Here is a 14,897-nt window from a genome sequence, read left to right on the forward strand (position 1 = left end):
AGCAAATTTTTTCTCTGAAGCAAAACACATTTGCAGAGTCGTGACCTCTGCCAGGGAAGTGGGACAGAAGCTGGAGCCAGAAGACCTGAGGACAGGTCTCAATTCTGTCCCCTGGCTCACCAACAAGGGAGGGGTGGGCCACAGGGTCTTTCAGTGCCTTCCCAGCTGGACATTTCTGACCTCTCCTCTTCTCCTCTCCAAAATAAAAAAAAAAATCCTTAAATTTTCTAACCACCTCGGTGTAATTTTACTAGAGCATTAACTGAATTATAAATGTGTCTATTCAAACAAGGGCCTGGCCAGTGAAATTTTAACCAACTACCTGATTTCCAACTGTTTTCCATTGACCCATATATTAAAATAGTAGAAGGCCTTGGTCTCATGAGGCTTCTGGAGAAGCCTGCACGCAGCAGGAATGACACCCTGGTTGTGGAATTTCACTAGGCAACAGGCTCCAAACAGAAAATGTTAGCACTTTTGAGGACAAATAGTGTTTCTGGTACACTCTCTCCCCACCCCTTTCCTTTATCTAGTTTCTGCTCTTTCTTTGCTCTTTTATTTTTACTACTCCTTTTAAGAGTTCGTGTGTATTTTTACTAAACTTCAGTAGTACATATCCCCTCGCCAAAATGCTCCCTTCTCACTTTACACACTGCTGAAAATTATCATGCTGGCCCCTTCCTTGGAGTACAGTTCTGCCCTGTTGAAATGCTCACCCAGGAGGGGGCACCGAATTCCTGCTTTGTCACCAGGGACTGGGTGTTCAAAGAGTCGTTCATGGGGTGGGGCGTGTGGCCATGCCAGATAGCTGGTCAACCCCGGAGGAAGGCCAGCCCCAGGAGGGAGCAAGTGCAGTGTAGGGTCCAGCCAAGGGTTTATGAGCCTGAAGATTGGTTCAGGCAGCGGCGCCATCCTAAGGGAAAAACAGATACACCTCGAAGAGAAGCTGCTCCACCACTGCACCTGCTCTGTGCCACATGGAGGGTAAATGTCTGCTAAATGAACGCAAATGAAGAGGTCACCCCTTCATACTGTTGACTATCCCACCTGTGAGGGCCCAGGAGCAGAATGGTCACCTGGAGATCCAACAAGGTGGCTGTTTCCTTCATAGTCATCAGTAAGACTCTGCAGAAAACTCACTCCGCAGGGATTAGGCCAAAAAGAGGATGTGTCAGGAGTTTACAGGGTACCCTGGGTTGAATGGTGGCCCCAGAAAGGTATATCCATGTTCTAATCCCTAAACCTCAGAATATGGCCGTATTTGGAAAATGGGTCTTTCAGGTGTAATTAAGAATTTCGAGGCCAGGCGCGGTGGCTCATGCAGGTAATCCCAGCACTTTGGGAGGCTGAGGCGGGTGGATCGCCTGAGGTCAGGAATTTGAGACCAGCCAGGCCAACATGGTGAAACCCCGTCTCTACTAAAAACACAAATAATTAGCCAGGTGTGGTGGCACACGCCTGTAATCCCAGCTACTTGGGAGGCTGAGGCCAAGATTCACTTGAACCCAGGAGGAGGAGTTTGCGGTGAGCCAAGATCGTGCCACTGCACTCCAGCCTGGGTGACAAAGAGAGACTTTATCTCAAAAAAAAAAAAAATTTTTGAGATGAGATTATCCTGGACTGCCTAGGTGGGCCCTAAATCCACAAATAGTGTCCTTAGAGAGGGGGAAGAGAGAAGACTTGCAAGGGGAGCAGGAGGGGAAGGTCCTGTGAAAATGGAGAGATTGGGGCCGAGGAACACCAGAGCCACCAGAACCAGAAGAGGCAGGAAGAATTTTCCTCCAGAGCCTCTGGAAGGGAGCACAGCCCTGCCCACACCTGGATCTCAGACTTTTGGACTCTAAAACTGTGAGAAAATACATTTCTGTCATTCTAAGCCATCACGTTCATGGTGATTTGTTATGGCAGCCACAGGAAACAAAGAGAGGATGTCACCCTTAGAAGGGGTCCCATGGCACCTTGCCCAGTGAGGACAGGAGCTCAAATAGGACATGGGGAGGGTCAGAGAAGCAGCACTGGCTGGGGGTGATCTAAGCACCTGAGCCCATTTCTGTGGGCAGCCCCAGAATCAGCCATGGTCAGTGGACCAGAGAAAGGCCACTCCATGGAATAGCTTTTGGGGACCCAGGAGCCCGGTGGGTGCTGCACCTGTCCAGGACAGCTTGCTAAGGCATCAGTCATCACCAGAGTGACCCGCAGGCTGCCAGCTCCAGATGGTGTCTGCCAACCATCCATCCACAACGTGAGCCCATCAAGGCCCCCATCCACTCTGAGCCTCTCAGACCTAACTGTTCAGGCACCCCGGGGAGACAACCCCACAGCCCCGCAGGCCACTTTGTGCCTGGATTTGAGGAAGAAAGGAGCTGCTGTACTTAAACTCTGGGGCCAGGCTGCATGATAAACCCCTTCAAAGCAGGCATGAGTGCAGAGAATGCCCTGTTACATTTTATTTTTGAATTTCTAATTTAAAAAAATACACAGGGGAGTCCTAGTTTTAAGATACTGGAGTAGAAGCTTTTCCACTCCCAACTTTTCTCAAAAAGCACATTTTAGCAAGGAGAACAGGGAAATAGGGACACAAAAGATATTTATAACCCCAGTTCACAACGTGAAAGCAGGAAGCAGGCAGATGAATGGGAAACTTACAGCAGGGCCAGAGAGGGCGGGACTTAAGGCCGGTGGGAGAGAGAACAATGAGAAGCATATCCAGGAAGGCTTGGGAACTGCAGGTGACAGGTACCTGTGCAGGTAACTGCAGGTGACATAGCCTGTAGATCCTCCACCCAGGAGGCGAGGGCAGGGGTTGCTGGAAATAGCGCATGGTGTAAACATCTGTACAAGGAGCCCTCTGGCCTGGGTTCCACATCCAGGTGGCCCCAAGATGCTGAGACAGGAAGTTTATTCTCTGGGGAAAGTGAACCAAAGGAACCAAACCTGCAGGCACATTGGGAGAAAAGAGTGGCTGGACTGAAACCCAGCGGGCCAGGAAATTGTGCATGCCGAGCATGGAAATTCCCAGTCCTGCCGTCTCACCCAGATCACCAGTAGCCCTTGCCCCAACCCAGCTGGCAATCAGAGAGTCCTTTTCTACAGAAACCAAACTGCTCCAGAGAAAACAGCCACAGAGATTGACCACTGGGGGTTCCTAATGAACAAGCCAGTTGGCCTGCAGCTCACCCTGCAGTAAAGCCCAAGTTACTCATGTTTAGAAACCCTCCTACCATCATCCTGAGGCCCCAAATTTACATATGTGCCTGCCATAGAAGTCAAAGACCAAGGACAATCAACAAATGGGGAGGGGGAGGAGTTAAAGTAAGCAATAAAGAGAGCAGAATAAAACTTCAAAAAACACTATATTTTATAACCTCAAAGAAAGAAAAAATAATGCATTCTTAAAACAAGAGCAGGATGTTATTTTAAATTTTTTTAAAGGCAGAATATTTAACTGCCACTTTAGTTAAAAACACAAGGATCAAAAGCAAAAAAAATAGGCCGGGCACGGTGGCTCACACCTGTAACCCCAGCACTTTGGGAAGCCAAGGTGGGCAGATCACCTGAGGTCAGGAATTCAAGACCAGCCTGGCCAAAATGGTGAAACCCTGTCTCTACTAAAAAATACAAAAATTAGCCAGGCGTGGTGGTGGGAGCCTGTAATCCCAGCTACTTAGGAGGCTGAAGCAGGGAGAATTGCTTGAACCTGGGAGGCAGAGGTTGCAGTGAGCCCAGATCACTCCACTGCACTCTAGCATGGGCAACAGAGCAGGACTCCATACCAAAAAAAAAAAAAAAATAGCAAAAAGGATAGACAATAATGTTGAGAAAATCTCCAAGAAGGCTGAACAAAAATAAAAGGAATTTACAATGGAAGGGAAAAGATAAGACCATTAAAGGATCAATCTATTCCAGAAGCCTCAAAATGGAGAGAAGAAATTATTAAAGAAATAACACAAGAAAACTTCCCAGAATTGAACGACTTGCATTAATAGATTGAAAGGGTGGCCAGGCAAGGTGGCTCACACCTGTAATTCCAGAACTTTGGGAGGCCAAGGTTGGAGGATCTCTTGAGCCCAGGAGGTCGAGGCTGCAATAAGCCTTGATTGGACCACTGCACTCCAGCTTGGATGATAGAGCAAAAGCCTGTCTCAAACAAAAAAGAAAAAAGAAAAGAAAGAAAAAGAAAAGAAAATATAAGGAAAAAGAAAGGGCCTAAAACAACCAACCATTAACTCTTGCTATGCCTCTTGAATCCCATGTTATAATAGGACATGATGCCCTCATCTTCCCTCTGCCCCTCCTCAGCACCTTCCACCACCCCACTCTGTGGAATCATTGCTCTTATTTTATTATTTTTAAAAATTTGGGAATATTAACATTCAATGCTGTTTCCATATGGAGTAAATTATCCAAAAATTGAATCTGAAAGTTAAAAACCTATCACTGCTACACACAGATATCACACACACACAATGTAAATGTGTGTCACTGCACAGCTGAGTAGGGTGCTGGTGTTGCATTTCCTTCTCTGGAAGGCCAACAATGCAACTAAAAAGGAATTGTCTCTGGACATGAGTCCTTTTTGCACTCTGCTAATTGCCTTATATCTTTGCAAGACCCTCCAGGATCTCAATTGCTTTATCTCTTTTACTCTTTCCTCCTTTCCCAGAGACTTCCTCTCAGCCTTTCCCTCCAGCCTGTGCCCCACTGCCACCATCCTTGCAGAGAGTATGGTGCTCTTACAATCAAATGCACCAACTGCTAGAAGTCAGGTCTGGCTCTTTCTTGATTTAATTTCTTCTCTTTTGGGAGAATGTCCTCCATTCACCTCCCATGGAAAGATGCATGAGAGGTAAACTTGCTTAGTTAGTCCACGCGTGAAAAAATCTTTGTTATTCCCTCACACTTGAGCAATAGTTTAAGGATGTTGAATACTGAGTTTAAGGTGTCATAAACTAAAGTCCTTTTCCTTTAGAACTCGCTCCGTTGGCTTCTAGCATCCAGTGCTGCTGGTGAGGATTCTGAGAAGCCTAGTATTTAATTCTTCATGAGTGATCTTTGTCACACTCTCTTTCTGTCATTGAAAATGTCTTCCCCTCCATGCTGCCTGGTCTTGCTTGTTGTCTTTTTGAGGCATGGGAAGACAAATTTAAAACAAATTGAAAAACAAGGAAGTGCCAGATGGGAGATAGAAAACATCACCTATATTACTGGGGGAGGCCAAGTTGGAGGATGTGCCTCATGGTGAAAACCAAATGAGACAGCTTCAGAAACAGGACAGCTTCAGAAACAGGACAGCTCCAGAAACAAGACAGCTCCAGAAATGACACAACTCCAGAAATGAGACAGCTCCGGAAATGACACAACTCCAGAAATAAGACAGCTCCAGAAATTGCACAGCTCCAGAAATGTTATAGTTCTAGAAATAAGACAGATTCAGAAATCACACAGCTCCAGAACTGGGTTGACTCATCCACCCAGTTTCAGTGGCACTGGGGTCACAGCAGACCTCCTGACAGGGGGACAGAGTAGAAAATGCTCCTAGCAGGAGGCAGTTCCCTCTGAAGAGGAAGAAAGACAGAGCTGCCCCTGCCCAGTAACCTTCCAACGTTTACCCATCAGAAGGGTCACAGGGCCCTTCCTGGAGAGAGATCTGGGAGAGGAGCAGGGAAGTGTGAGTGCCACATCAGGGAGAGAGAAAGGCTGTCCCCACATTGTAGTCTCTGAAACTGCGGATAGTCAAACATCAGAGCTTTTGACTTGAGCCTTTGTGGCTTTTCTCCCATATTCTTTATTTCTTGGTCTTTTTGTACTATTTTCTGGGAGATTTCTCCTACTTCTCTTCCAACACTTGTACTGATATTTTTCCCACACTTTAATTTTGCTGCACCTTCTCATGGTGACCTATTCTCACAGCCCTCTATTCACGCTTCGTAAATTATCTTTTTACAAAATTCATCTAAGTTGCTCATTTAGATGGGGTTTAAGGGTTTGTTTGATTTCTTTTTTATTGTTGTTCTTGCTGGTTGTGTGTATGTGTGGGAGGAGGGAGGGGGAATTGGGTCATCTGCAAGGCAGACAAGAAGACAGAGTCAGAGAGAATGAGATGTGTTGGCAGAAAAGCCTGTGATGATTAAGATCAAAGGGAGAAGGAGGCTTTCCAGCCTGCCTCCAGATTCTGAGCTGAACCATCTGTAAACCAGGCTTCAGCTTTTTGTTTCTCCTCTGGCAGAGCCTATCAGACCCACCCACAGGGCTGTTGATGCTAGCTGGGGGAGGGCACTGGCCCATCGTGGCAGAGGACGTGGTCATCTGGGACCACTGCTTGTATAGCTCACTTATGTCCTCTGGTCCTGTTCAGGCTCCATGCCAGCTGTGCCATTTCCATGTGAAAATGGACTTCCCCAGGCACACCCAGCTATATGATGTGGTGGGTCTGACCACCAATCCTACACTCTTAAAATCCCCAAGGCTGAGCCTGATCCATCCTCCTCCCTTCCAGAGTATGGATTTGTGATTCACTGTCATGGTGGGTGGGGAGTAGAACTTCAGAGCACTCTACTTGGTCTTCCTCATCACAATTGTTCTTACTCCATACTCCAAGATTCAGCATGGGTGCTGAACCCACTGCCAAATATATTGACCCCAGTTACATATCTGGGAAGTGAATGCAGAATTAAATGCAATGCAGTAATAGCCAGCCATTTTCACTCTCCTCATGTGCACTGTTGCCTCTGTATGTTTCAAAAGATCGAATCATCACACTCGTCAGGGCTTTCCCTCTTGAGTGGGACATTTGTGCAAGTCACCGCCATTAAAATTGTTACTGCTGGGCCACTATCTTGTGCTGGGGACTATCCCTAGCCCCATACCACTTAGGATAAAGTCTCCCTTGCCAACCAGGCAGTGGGAAATCCAGCTCCTAAACCCAATTCTTAGGTCCTCTGCAAACAAAAGCAAAAATAACATCTTTAGATATTGATGTAGGTGTAACACCTCTGTAGGGAGAGGGAGGAAGGACTGTGATGGTGGGAAGAGCCTCTGCCAGCCCATCAGGGAGCTCTGGTGCAATGATATCCTCAGAGAAACAACACAGAGCCGGGGATGGGTGGCCCTTGTACCACCGCTGTTCTCCATCTTTGGCTGGGGGCTGCTGGCAGAGCATGTGGTCTTGGCTCAGAAGCAGGGCGGAACCTGAAGGCACCCAGTCAGAGCTGCCTGTGAGCTGCAGGCTCCCTTGGAAGGAGATCGGAGTGGCCCACCTCCATGGCTGGCACATCAGCCTTTATGCTCGTTTCCTCTGCATTTCTTTCTGAGTGTTTTCCTCTGTTCTCCTCCACATTGCCAGTTTAAGTGTCTGGCAGTCCCTGGCTGTCTGCTCATTTATTTGAGCAGGTAATAGAAGCTGCCTGGGAGAGGGGCCAATAGCTGGTAGATCTCACTTCAGGTGATGGCACTTGTGCAAACAACAGCTCAGGATCCCAGGACCAGGGTCCAGGGGAGGGGTCAGTAAATGTCAAACTGCACAGGGCTTGGCTCCGGAATACCGGTGCCTTCCAAAATAACTTCTAGACCTCCCAAAATAACCCATTAAATTTCCTTAGAGCAGAATGCTTAGTTAGTTGGTTGGTTGGACTGGTTGGTTGAACTGGTTGTTGGTTAATTGGTTGATTGGTTGGTTCGTTGAATTTGCAGGGGAAGGTGGGATAGTCAGGGGTTGGGGAGAAGGAATAGGTAAATGCCAGGTACCCCAGGGAGAGGAGAATGGGGTGGTGCCCCTGTTTCAGGCCCACAGCTTTCTCCACACCTGGCACTCAGAATTCTGGGCGTCTCTGGGCTCTGCAGGGCTCTGCCCCCTGCAAGTGTTCATATGAGACACCTCCACCAAACACCCTCTTCTGCTCTCCACTTTCCCAACATTTGTTGAAATTGCTTGTTGTGTTTTTTATGTTTGTTTTTTTTTGGGGGGGGAGATGGGGAGTTGGGAGTTGGGTTTTTTTTTTGTTTTTATTTTGTTTTTGTTTTGAGACAGGAACTTGCTCTGCCATCCAGGCTGAGTACAGAGGCATTATCATAGCTCACTGCAGCTTCAAACTACTGGGCTCAGGCAATCCTTCTGTCTCAGCCTCCTGAGTAGCTGGGACCACAGGCACACACCACCACACCCGGCTAATTTTTGTATTTTTTGTTGATACAGGGTCTCACCATGTTGCCTATGCTGGTCTCGAACTCCTAGGCTCAAGCGATCCTCCCACCTCAGCCTCCCAAAGTGCTGGACTTACAGGCGTGAGCCCCCACACCTGGCCCACTCATTGTTTGAAGGATCCTCTCCCATCTCTTTATTTTTTGTGGGTTTATAAATTAAAAACTTCTTGACTGCATTTAATGGAGCTGCAGACAGACTAGATACAGCTACTGAGCCATCTGTCATCTTGATGTGAAGTCTTTACCATTGTGCCTTAAAGCTTGAGCATGGCTATCTTAAGTCCTCTCAGATTGTGTTTTGGAAATCAAGCCAAATTGTTTATATTTCTAAAACTGCAATAGTGAAGTTTACAAATTGTTATCTTTTCTCATTGCTTCCTACCTCTTTCCTCTTGACCCTGCCCTTGGCTCCCTCCGGAGATCCAGCCCCTGGGGCATGGCTATCCTCAAAGTCAGTTGTCCTCCTGCCTCTGAAACAGGATTGGAAGCCTCCTCTTGCACCCCATACCACACACAGTCCCATCCAAAGAAACAGTCCAGCTGCCTAAACATGGTTGGAAGCAGCAGGAATGTCCACGCCTGTGTCTCTCAGAACTGCCCAGGGAAGAATACTCTTAACTCTCAGGCCTTCTTGAGCCTGCTGCCCAGCCTGCCTCCCTCCCAGCAGCTCTCCTGCTCCACCCCTTCCACAGGCCCCTCGGGGCTCCTGCGCCCCTCACCATCTGGGGGCTACCTCCTCAGGCTGGGTCACCACACCCCACAGGAACAATCAGCCATTCATTGACAAAGCACAGATACCAAAGCCAAAAAGGAGGCGCCATCCCTTTTCTCTTAGAAAGGCCGCTTGGCTGGGGCACCTGGGGACTCCAGAGATGGCAGCGCTATTCTGGGTCTCCAGCCAGAGGCAGCCAGTGTGGTCAACAGTGACGACAGTGTCCACGGGAGAGGGCTACGCTGGTGAAGAAGGGGACAGTGTCCAGTGGAGGCCTCAATGCCCACCTGGAGAACAGACCAAAGGAACCAGAGGACACCTGGACCCTTTGCTCAGTCTCCAGCCCACACATCCCAATGTATACAGCCAGCAGCAGCCTTGGGGAATCTGGGGCACCTGGGAGAGAAGGGTTGGGAGGAAGCAGAGCTGGTGGAGTGGGTAGAAAATCACTGTGGCTGGGACATGCCATAGCGTAAGGAAACACAGGTATATTTTACAACTATTAACGTGGCTGTGTACCAGATGTTCTTATCTTGTTTTCTGGGGGTACATTTTGTCTGTCCCAACACTCCCCCAGAATGCTGAAGGCAGAGCAAAAACCAAGGCTCATGTAGCTTCTGATTTAATCGCTTAATAAGCATTTATTAAGCACCTCTAAATATTCAGCACTGGGTCAGGCACGGTGTGAAGACACAAAGACATAGAAAATAATTCCTCCCCTCGCAGAGCTTGCAGTGAGCCGAGATTGCGCCATTGCACTCCAGCCTGGGCGACAGAGCGAGACTTCGTCTCAAAAAATAATAATAATTCCTCCCCTCAAGGGATACTTGGTCCCTTGGGGAAAAGGAAGACTCACACACATAAAAAGTTGATGCTTTCCACCCTGGAGATTTAAAGTGTTGCATCTGATACTTTTCTCGAATCCCAAAAATGTGCATGTAATTATATAGCGTATAATTCATTGTATCACATGAAACACAACTTCAGTGAACATTTGAGCGGCGCCTTCAGATGATAATCAATGCATGCAAGATTAAAGTGATTCATAAAGCAATTTTCTCTCAAAGAACTAGCCTTTTTTTAAAAAAACTCTCCTTACTTTCATCTCTTTCCACACACCAGCACCAGCAATTGGGGTTTTCCTTTTTTGCAGAGAAACAAAATCTATGCTATTGTGTGGGAGTAGCTATGTACCCCGCCAGGAGTCTGGGTGGGGAGGACCTCTCAGCCCAGGGAGGCACAGGCTCAGGCACCGGGCAGAGTCCCTGGCTAGCCTGGCGCCATGCTCAGGTGCAGGAGCCCCAGGGCGGGGACACTGGCATAAGCGCTAGTGGCCACAAAGAACAGAGCCCCAGGGTCGCTCACCAACAATAAATGCGATGCTGCATCTGGGCCCTCCCACCCAGGCTTGTCGTGGGCAGCGCTGACTCAGGTGCCCGATGAAGAAAAGAGCTCCTGAGGGGTGGGTGGGCTTACAAAACCCTCTCGACCTGGGTAGGCCCAATGGCCCCATAGCAGGCAGGTATGGCTGGGTGAGAATTGGCTGGCACTCTCCTTGGGCCTGGTTTCCGGGTTCCTACCAGCTGCGGCAGCTCCCGCTAGCCCCACCTTGCCGGGCAGCTCTCTGGGCACCAGGCTTCCTGTGGAACGTGGCCTTGCCTGACCCCTCCCGCATGGCCTGGGGCATCGCCATCCCTGCCCCGGTGGGGTTCCTGGGAGGGCCTCGCACTGCAAAGGCTTGAAAGCCAGGGAGCGTGGCGCCTTCGCGGGATAAACTAGCACAGGGAGAGTGACAGAGCAGGACGGAGAGAGCCTGGTCGGCCCCAGCGCTGACTCCAGTCCTGCCCTCCCCATGGCTTCAGTGAATGCTGACAGGTGACCGCCATGTGGATCACGTATTTTGAGAAGAAAACTGCATTTTTCCCACATATTGAGCAACTCCCAGTCCTGAGGACCTGGTTGGAGGAGCCTCAGATTCCAGCGCAGTTCCAAGAAGGGAAGTCCCCCAGCCAGAGTCTGCTGTTGGAGGAGGAACGGTCCTGGTGTGATTTTTATGCCTGTGTTAGGCTTTCTAAATAAAAACATTTCCTAATCAGAGAGGCGGGACAAAGAGATTTAATATGGAGTCAAGCAACCATCTTTTTTGCTAACAATGTAGAATTCAACTTTTGTAGATGAAAGTTTAACATCAATGCACATTAATTGCCAAAGACACCAAGGAGTATTCAACCCAGCTATCAAGTTGCTTTCACTTTATAGTGTTGTACAAACAGAGCCCTTATTTCAGGCTGTTCTAACAAAATGCCATAAATTGGGTGGCCCATAAACCACAGACATCCGTGCATCCCAGTTCTTGGGGCTGGAAATCCAAGATCAAGACACCAGCACCTGGGGTGTGGTGAGGGCCCGCGCTCTGGTTTATAGATGGCGCCTCCTCGCTGTGTCCTCACGTGGTGGAAGGGATGAACAAGCTCCCATTTCATAAGGACACTCATCCCATTCATGAGGGTTCTGCCCTCATGACCTAATCCCCTTCCCAAAGACCCCACCTCCTATACCATCGCCTTGGGAGTTAGAATTTCAACACAAGAATTTGGGGGAACACAAACATTCTGACCATAGCAGCCCTCTTCGCTCTAGAGCAAAATATAAAGACAAATATTTGGAACAGATTAATTAGGAAAAACCAAAACCGTTGTCATCAGAAACAGCCCGAGAAGGCTTACTATGAAGACAGCATTACATTATGGTTTTGATGAACAGTTAATTTCAGTTGATGAACAAGTAACAAAAAAATTCAAATACAAGTGCTAGTAACTATAACAAAATTCAAAGACCTTTTCCTAACACTTCAGTGTATTCATTATTCCAGAGGGGAGACAGCCCATTTCTGGAAATGAAAATAGCCTTTGAAATGAAAATGAAGGAACCAGGTTACCAATCAATGAGAACAAGAAGATGCTCCCATGCTGGGGACCACTGACGCTCTCGTGTGGCTGGTTTAATTTTCAGCATTTGGTAGAGGCCAGGGTTCCCCTAGACCTTGTCTGCGATGCTCCGAGGCCTCTCTGGTCCTTCACTGCTCTTGCCTCTCTTGCCTCAGGTGGGTTTTGCGGACCTCTCAGATTTTTCCCAGAAACGCTGCTTCCCAGGCTCTGCTAGCAGCGGCATGTGTACACCATCTTTCTCACCAAGAAACAAGTGTTTTTTAAAGAGGGAGAAACAGCAGCGGCCTGGGTAATTCGAGGATGATGTGCAAGGAACCTGCTCTTGTAATAAATACCCCAGCTAGGGCTTCCCCAGTGAAAAGCAACCCATCCAACCCATCAGGCTGTTTTCCATGCTCTCCGGCAGCCACTCCTTCCACAGCGTTTGCTCCACCGCCTGTCCCCACGTTTTCCAATAAAGCAGTTGAGGCTGGAAAAGTCAAGAGATTGGCCTGGAATCCAACAACTCACTAGGAAGTAATGCCCAAATCTGAGCCACATCTGGAGATTCCAAAGGTTTTTCTGTAATCCACACAGCTTTCTTTTAGTCCAGACTTTGGAACTAGAGGTGCTGGGACTTTCATTGTTTGCCCATTCATTCCATGAGTCCTGAGCTGTTCTCAGCCCTGAGGACGCAGCCTGAGACAAAATAGATCAAGATCCTTGCCCTTCGAAAGTGACAAGAATCAGACCCCAAGCCCTCGACCTCTCCTGCACTCTCACAGGCATGGCAGAGGTGGACGCCTCAGTCCTCCCCTGCACCCCAGCTCCAGAAGACGTTCACTCTCCCTGCCCTCCAGGGGCCCACCCCTCCCCTGAGGACAGCCAGTTGTCCTGTTACCTGAAACTTCTGAGTCACTGTCCCCAGTGCCATTTGCCTGGGCAGGGATTGAAGCTGAGTGAGGGGTTCAAGACTGGGCAGGACCCAGAGGACAGCACGCTGGGCTCATGGAGCGACATCACCAAAGGCGGGAGCACCCCAAGCTGCTCCTTGCCAGGCCATGTCCCAGTTCCTCGGAGGGCTGGAGACCTAAGGCTGTGACCTTCAGGTGTCCTTCCTCAAGGAGGGTGCTGAGACAAGGGGCTTAAGACCCACATCTAATCCAGAAAGTATTTCGAAGACAGGGTGCAAACATGGATCTCTCGGGGCTGGCAGAGGGGCCATTTTAGTAAAGTATTTCCAGGCCAACCCAGGAAAGTGCTTGAGAAAATGAGAAGGGGAGCTGAGTCCAGGTGCTCAGGGCCCCCATCACAGCTTCGTCCATCACCAGCAACCCCCAACTCTCCGACGTGTTAGAATTCAGGTGAAGAGGAAGGGCAGAAGCCCAGCAGCCGGGCCACAGTGACTCCAACCCATCTCTCTACAAAGGCCCAGGCCCAGGCAGCCCCTCCCTCACATCTGGAAGGTTCTGAGCACAAGCAAACCCACGGTCCTTAATATTTCCTGATCTGAGCAGGTTTTTAACCAAGCTGGAAGAGACCACTTAGAAAAGAAGGAAAATAAAATTCCCCTTCAGAATGCCAAGATGGAGAGATTTATCTTCATTCTAAAAAAAAAAAAAGTGGAAAAACATATGTCTGTGGCCCATTTTGAGTGGAAAGTTTTATTTATTCAACTGTTTATTGTTATTTCTCTGCCCACCACAGCAGGGTGAGGGCAAGTCTGATCTGCGGCCTCACCCTCTCCAAGTGCCTCCCCCAACCGCGCTCCCTTCCCCTCCCCACTCCCGGGAGGACCGAGTTGGTTCCATCCTCCCTCAGACCCAGCCAGGAAGCATGCTGTGCCCTCTCCTTTCTCCAGCACCTGAGCCTGGAGAGAGGCCCTGTGTGCCAGGGGCCTCCGTGGAATCCTTGACAGCTCCCCCAACTGCCCAATGCCCACATCAACCTCCTCTAAGTTAGCACTTTTGTCAAAGATAAGAAAAGTATTTTCAGGAAGCCCAAGTGTTTCCTGTTTGGCAGAAGCCAGGCTGAAACGCCCCAACTGGGAGCAGGGAATCGGGCTTGACCTGCATGTGTTTACAGAAGTCAGCTCAGAAGGAAGTGCGGTCCAAGGGTCTTCTTGTTCGTTTATTGAAAAGGCCATTAACGGTTTTTGTCCATCTCTGCTGCTGCTGTTGATGCTGTTTGCATAAATGACACCAGATCCTGCAAACCCTGCCAGTCTGGTGTGTCACTCACTAGAGCACTGGCTGCTCTGTAGCTTTCCAGCCAAGGGAACACATCGTCCTGCCTGCTTTCTGCTATGGATCCAACTGGTTCTTCTTGTGCCAAAAATGACTGCATGGTGTCATATGCACGGCACTCCATTTGATCGTTTATTCACCAAGCCTGTGTTGAGAAGCTTCCCTGTGTTGGATGCTGCTCTCTGATGCCCTGGGAGACAGGAGACAGGCTAAGGCTCCTGCCCTCAGGGAGGTTCCACTCTAGAGAGGGATCCAGATACATAAGGGAGACCCTGTTGTGTTAAAGTGAGAAGAGCTAGGACAAAATCAAGTAGGAGGGGCAGAGGAAGTGTGAGGGGAGGGCTGGCATTTTAGAGGGAGAGGCTGAGGCCAGGGAGGGCTGACTAGAGAAATGACACAGAAAGTTCTAGAAGGTGAGGTGGGAAAGTGGAACCAGCTTGCAGCCATCACTCTGAGTGTGAGAAGAGGCCTCAGGGCTCATGGGCAGTAAGGACAAGGTTCAACCCTGGTCCAGGGGGACAGCTCCAATTCCCATGTTGAGGCACCAGCAAGGGAAAGGCAGGCCCAGGGAGGCAGGAGCTCCCCAGCCAGGCCTACGGTGCATGATGACTGTGTACCACGTGACAATGTGATGTGGTGGTGGCCATCTGAGTTCTGACCTCCAGCGGATAACGTGGTATCTTTCCATGTCCCCAAGTCCCAACAAATTCAGGCAGTTTTCATACTGCCTGTTTCCTCAATACATTTTTGCTGAAAACATTTTCTTAAAGCAGGCATCATGGTGTTGGGAAAAAGCATAAACGACCGTTGAAC

The 14,897-nt window shown here is 49.0% G+C and overlaps 3 annotated features.

Annotated features, from left to right (window-relative positions):
• Nucleotides 10,569–11,104: an enhancer, noted in NCBI's record as "H3K4me1 hESC enhancer chr2:238354812-238355347 (GRCh37/hg19 assembly coordinates)". NCBI's record gives its function as "activates a minimal SCP1, AML or CMV promoter by ChIP-STARR-seq in naive H9 embryonic stem cells {active_cell/tissue: H9 hESC(naive)}" and the evidence as "EXISTENCE:reporter gene assay evidence [ECO:0000049][PMID:30033119]".
• Nucleotides 12,303–12,803: an enhancer, noted in NCBI's record as "H3K4me1 hESC enhancer chr2:238356546-238357046 (GRCh37/hg19 assembly coordinates)". NCBI's record gives its function as "activates a minimal SCP1, AML or CMV promoter by ChIP-STARR-seq in naive H9 embryonic stem cells {active_cell/tissue: H9 hESC(naive)}" and the evidence as "EXISTENCE:reporter gene assay evidence [ECO:0000049][PMID:30033119]".
• Nucleotides 12,804–13,304: an enhancer, noted in NCBI's record as "H3K4me1 hESC enhancer chr2:238357047-238357547 (GRCh37/hg19 assembly coordinates)". NCBI's record gives its function as "activates a minimal SCP1, AML or CMV promoter by ChIP-STARR-seq in naive H9 embryonic stem cells {active_cell/tissue: H9 hESC(naive)}" and the evidence as "EXISTENCE:reporter gene assay evidence [ECO:0000049][PMID:30033119]".

This window comes from Homo sapiens, chromosome 2 (genome assembly GCF_000001405.40).
Source record: "Homo sapiens chromosome 2, GRCh38.p14 Primary Assembly".
In the NCBI taxonomy this organism is placed as follows: domain Eukaryota; kingdom Metazoa; phylum Chordata; class Mammalia; order Primates; family Hominidae; genus Homo; species Homo sapiens.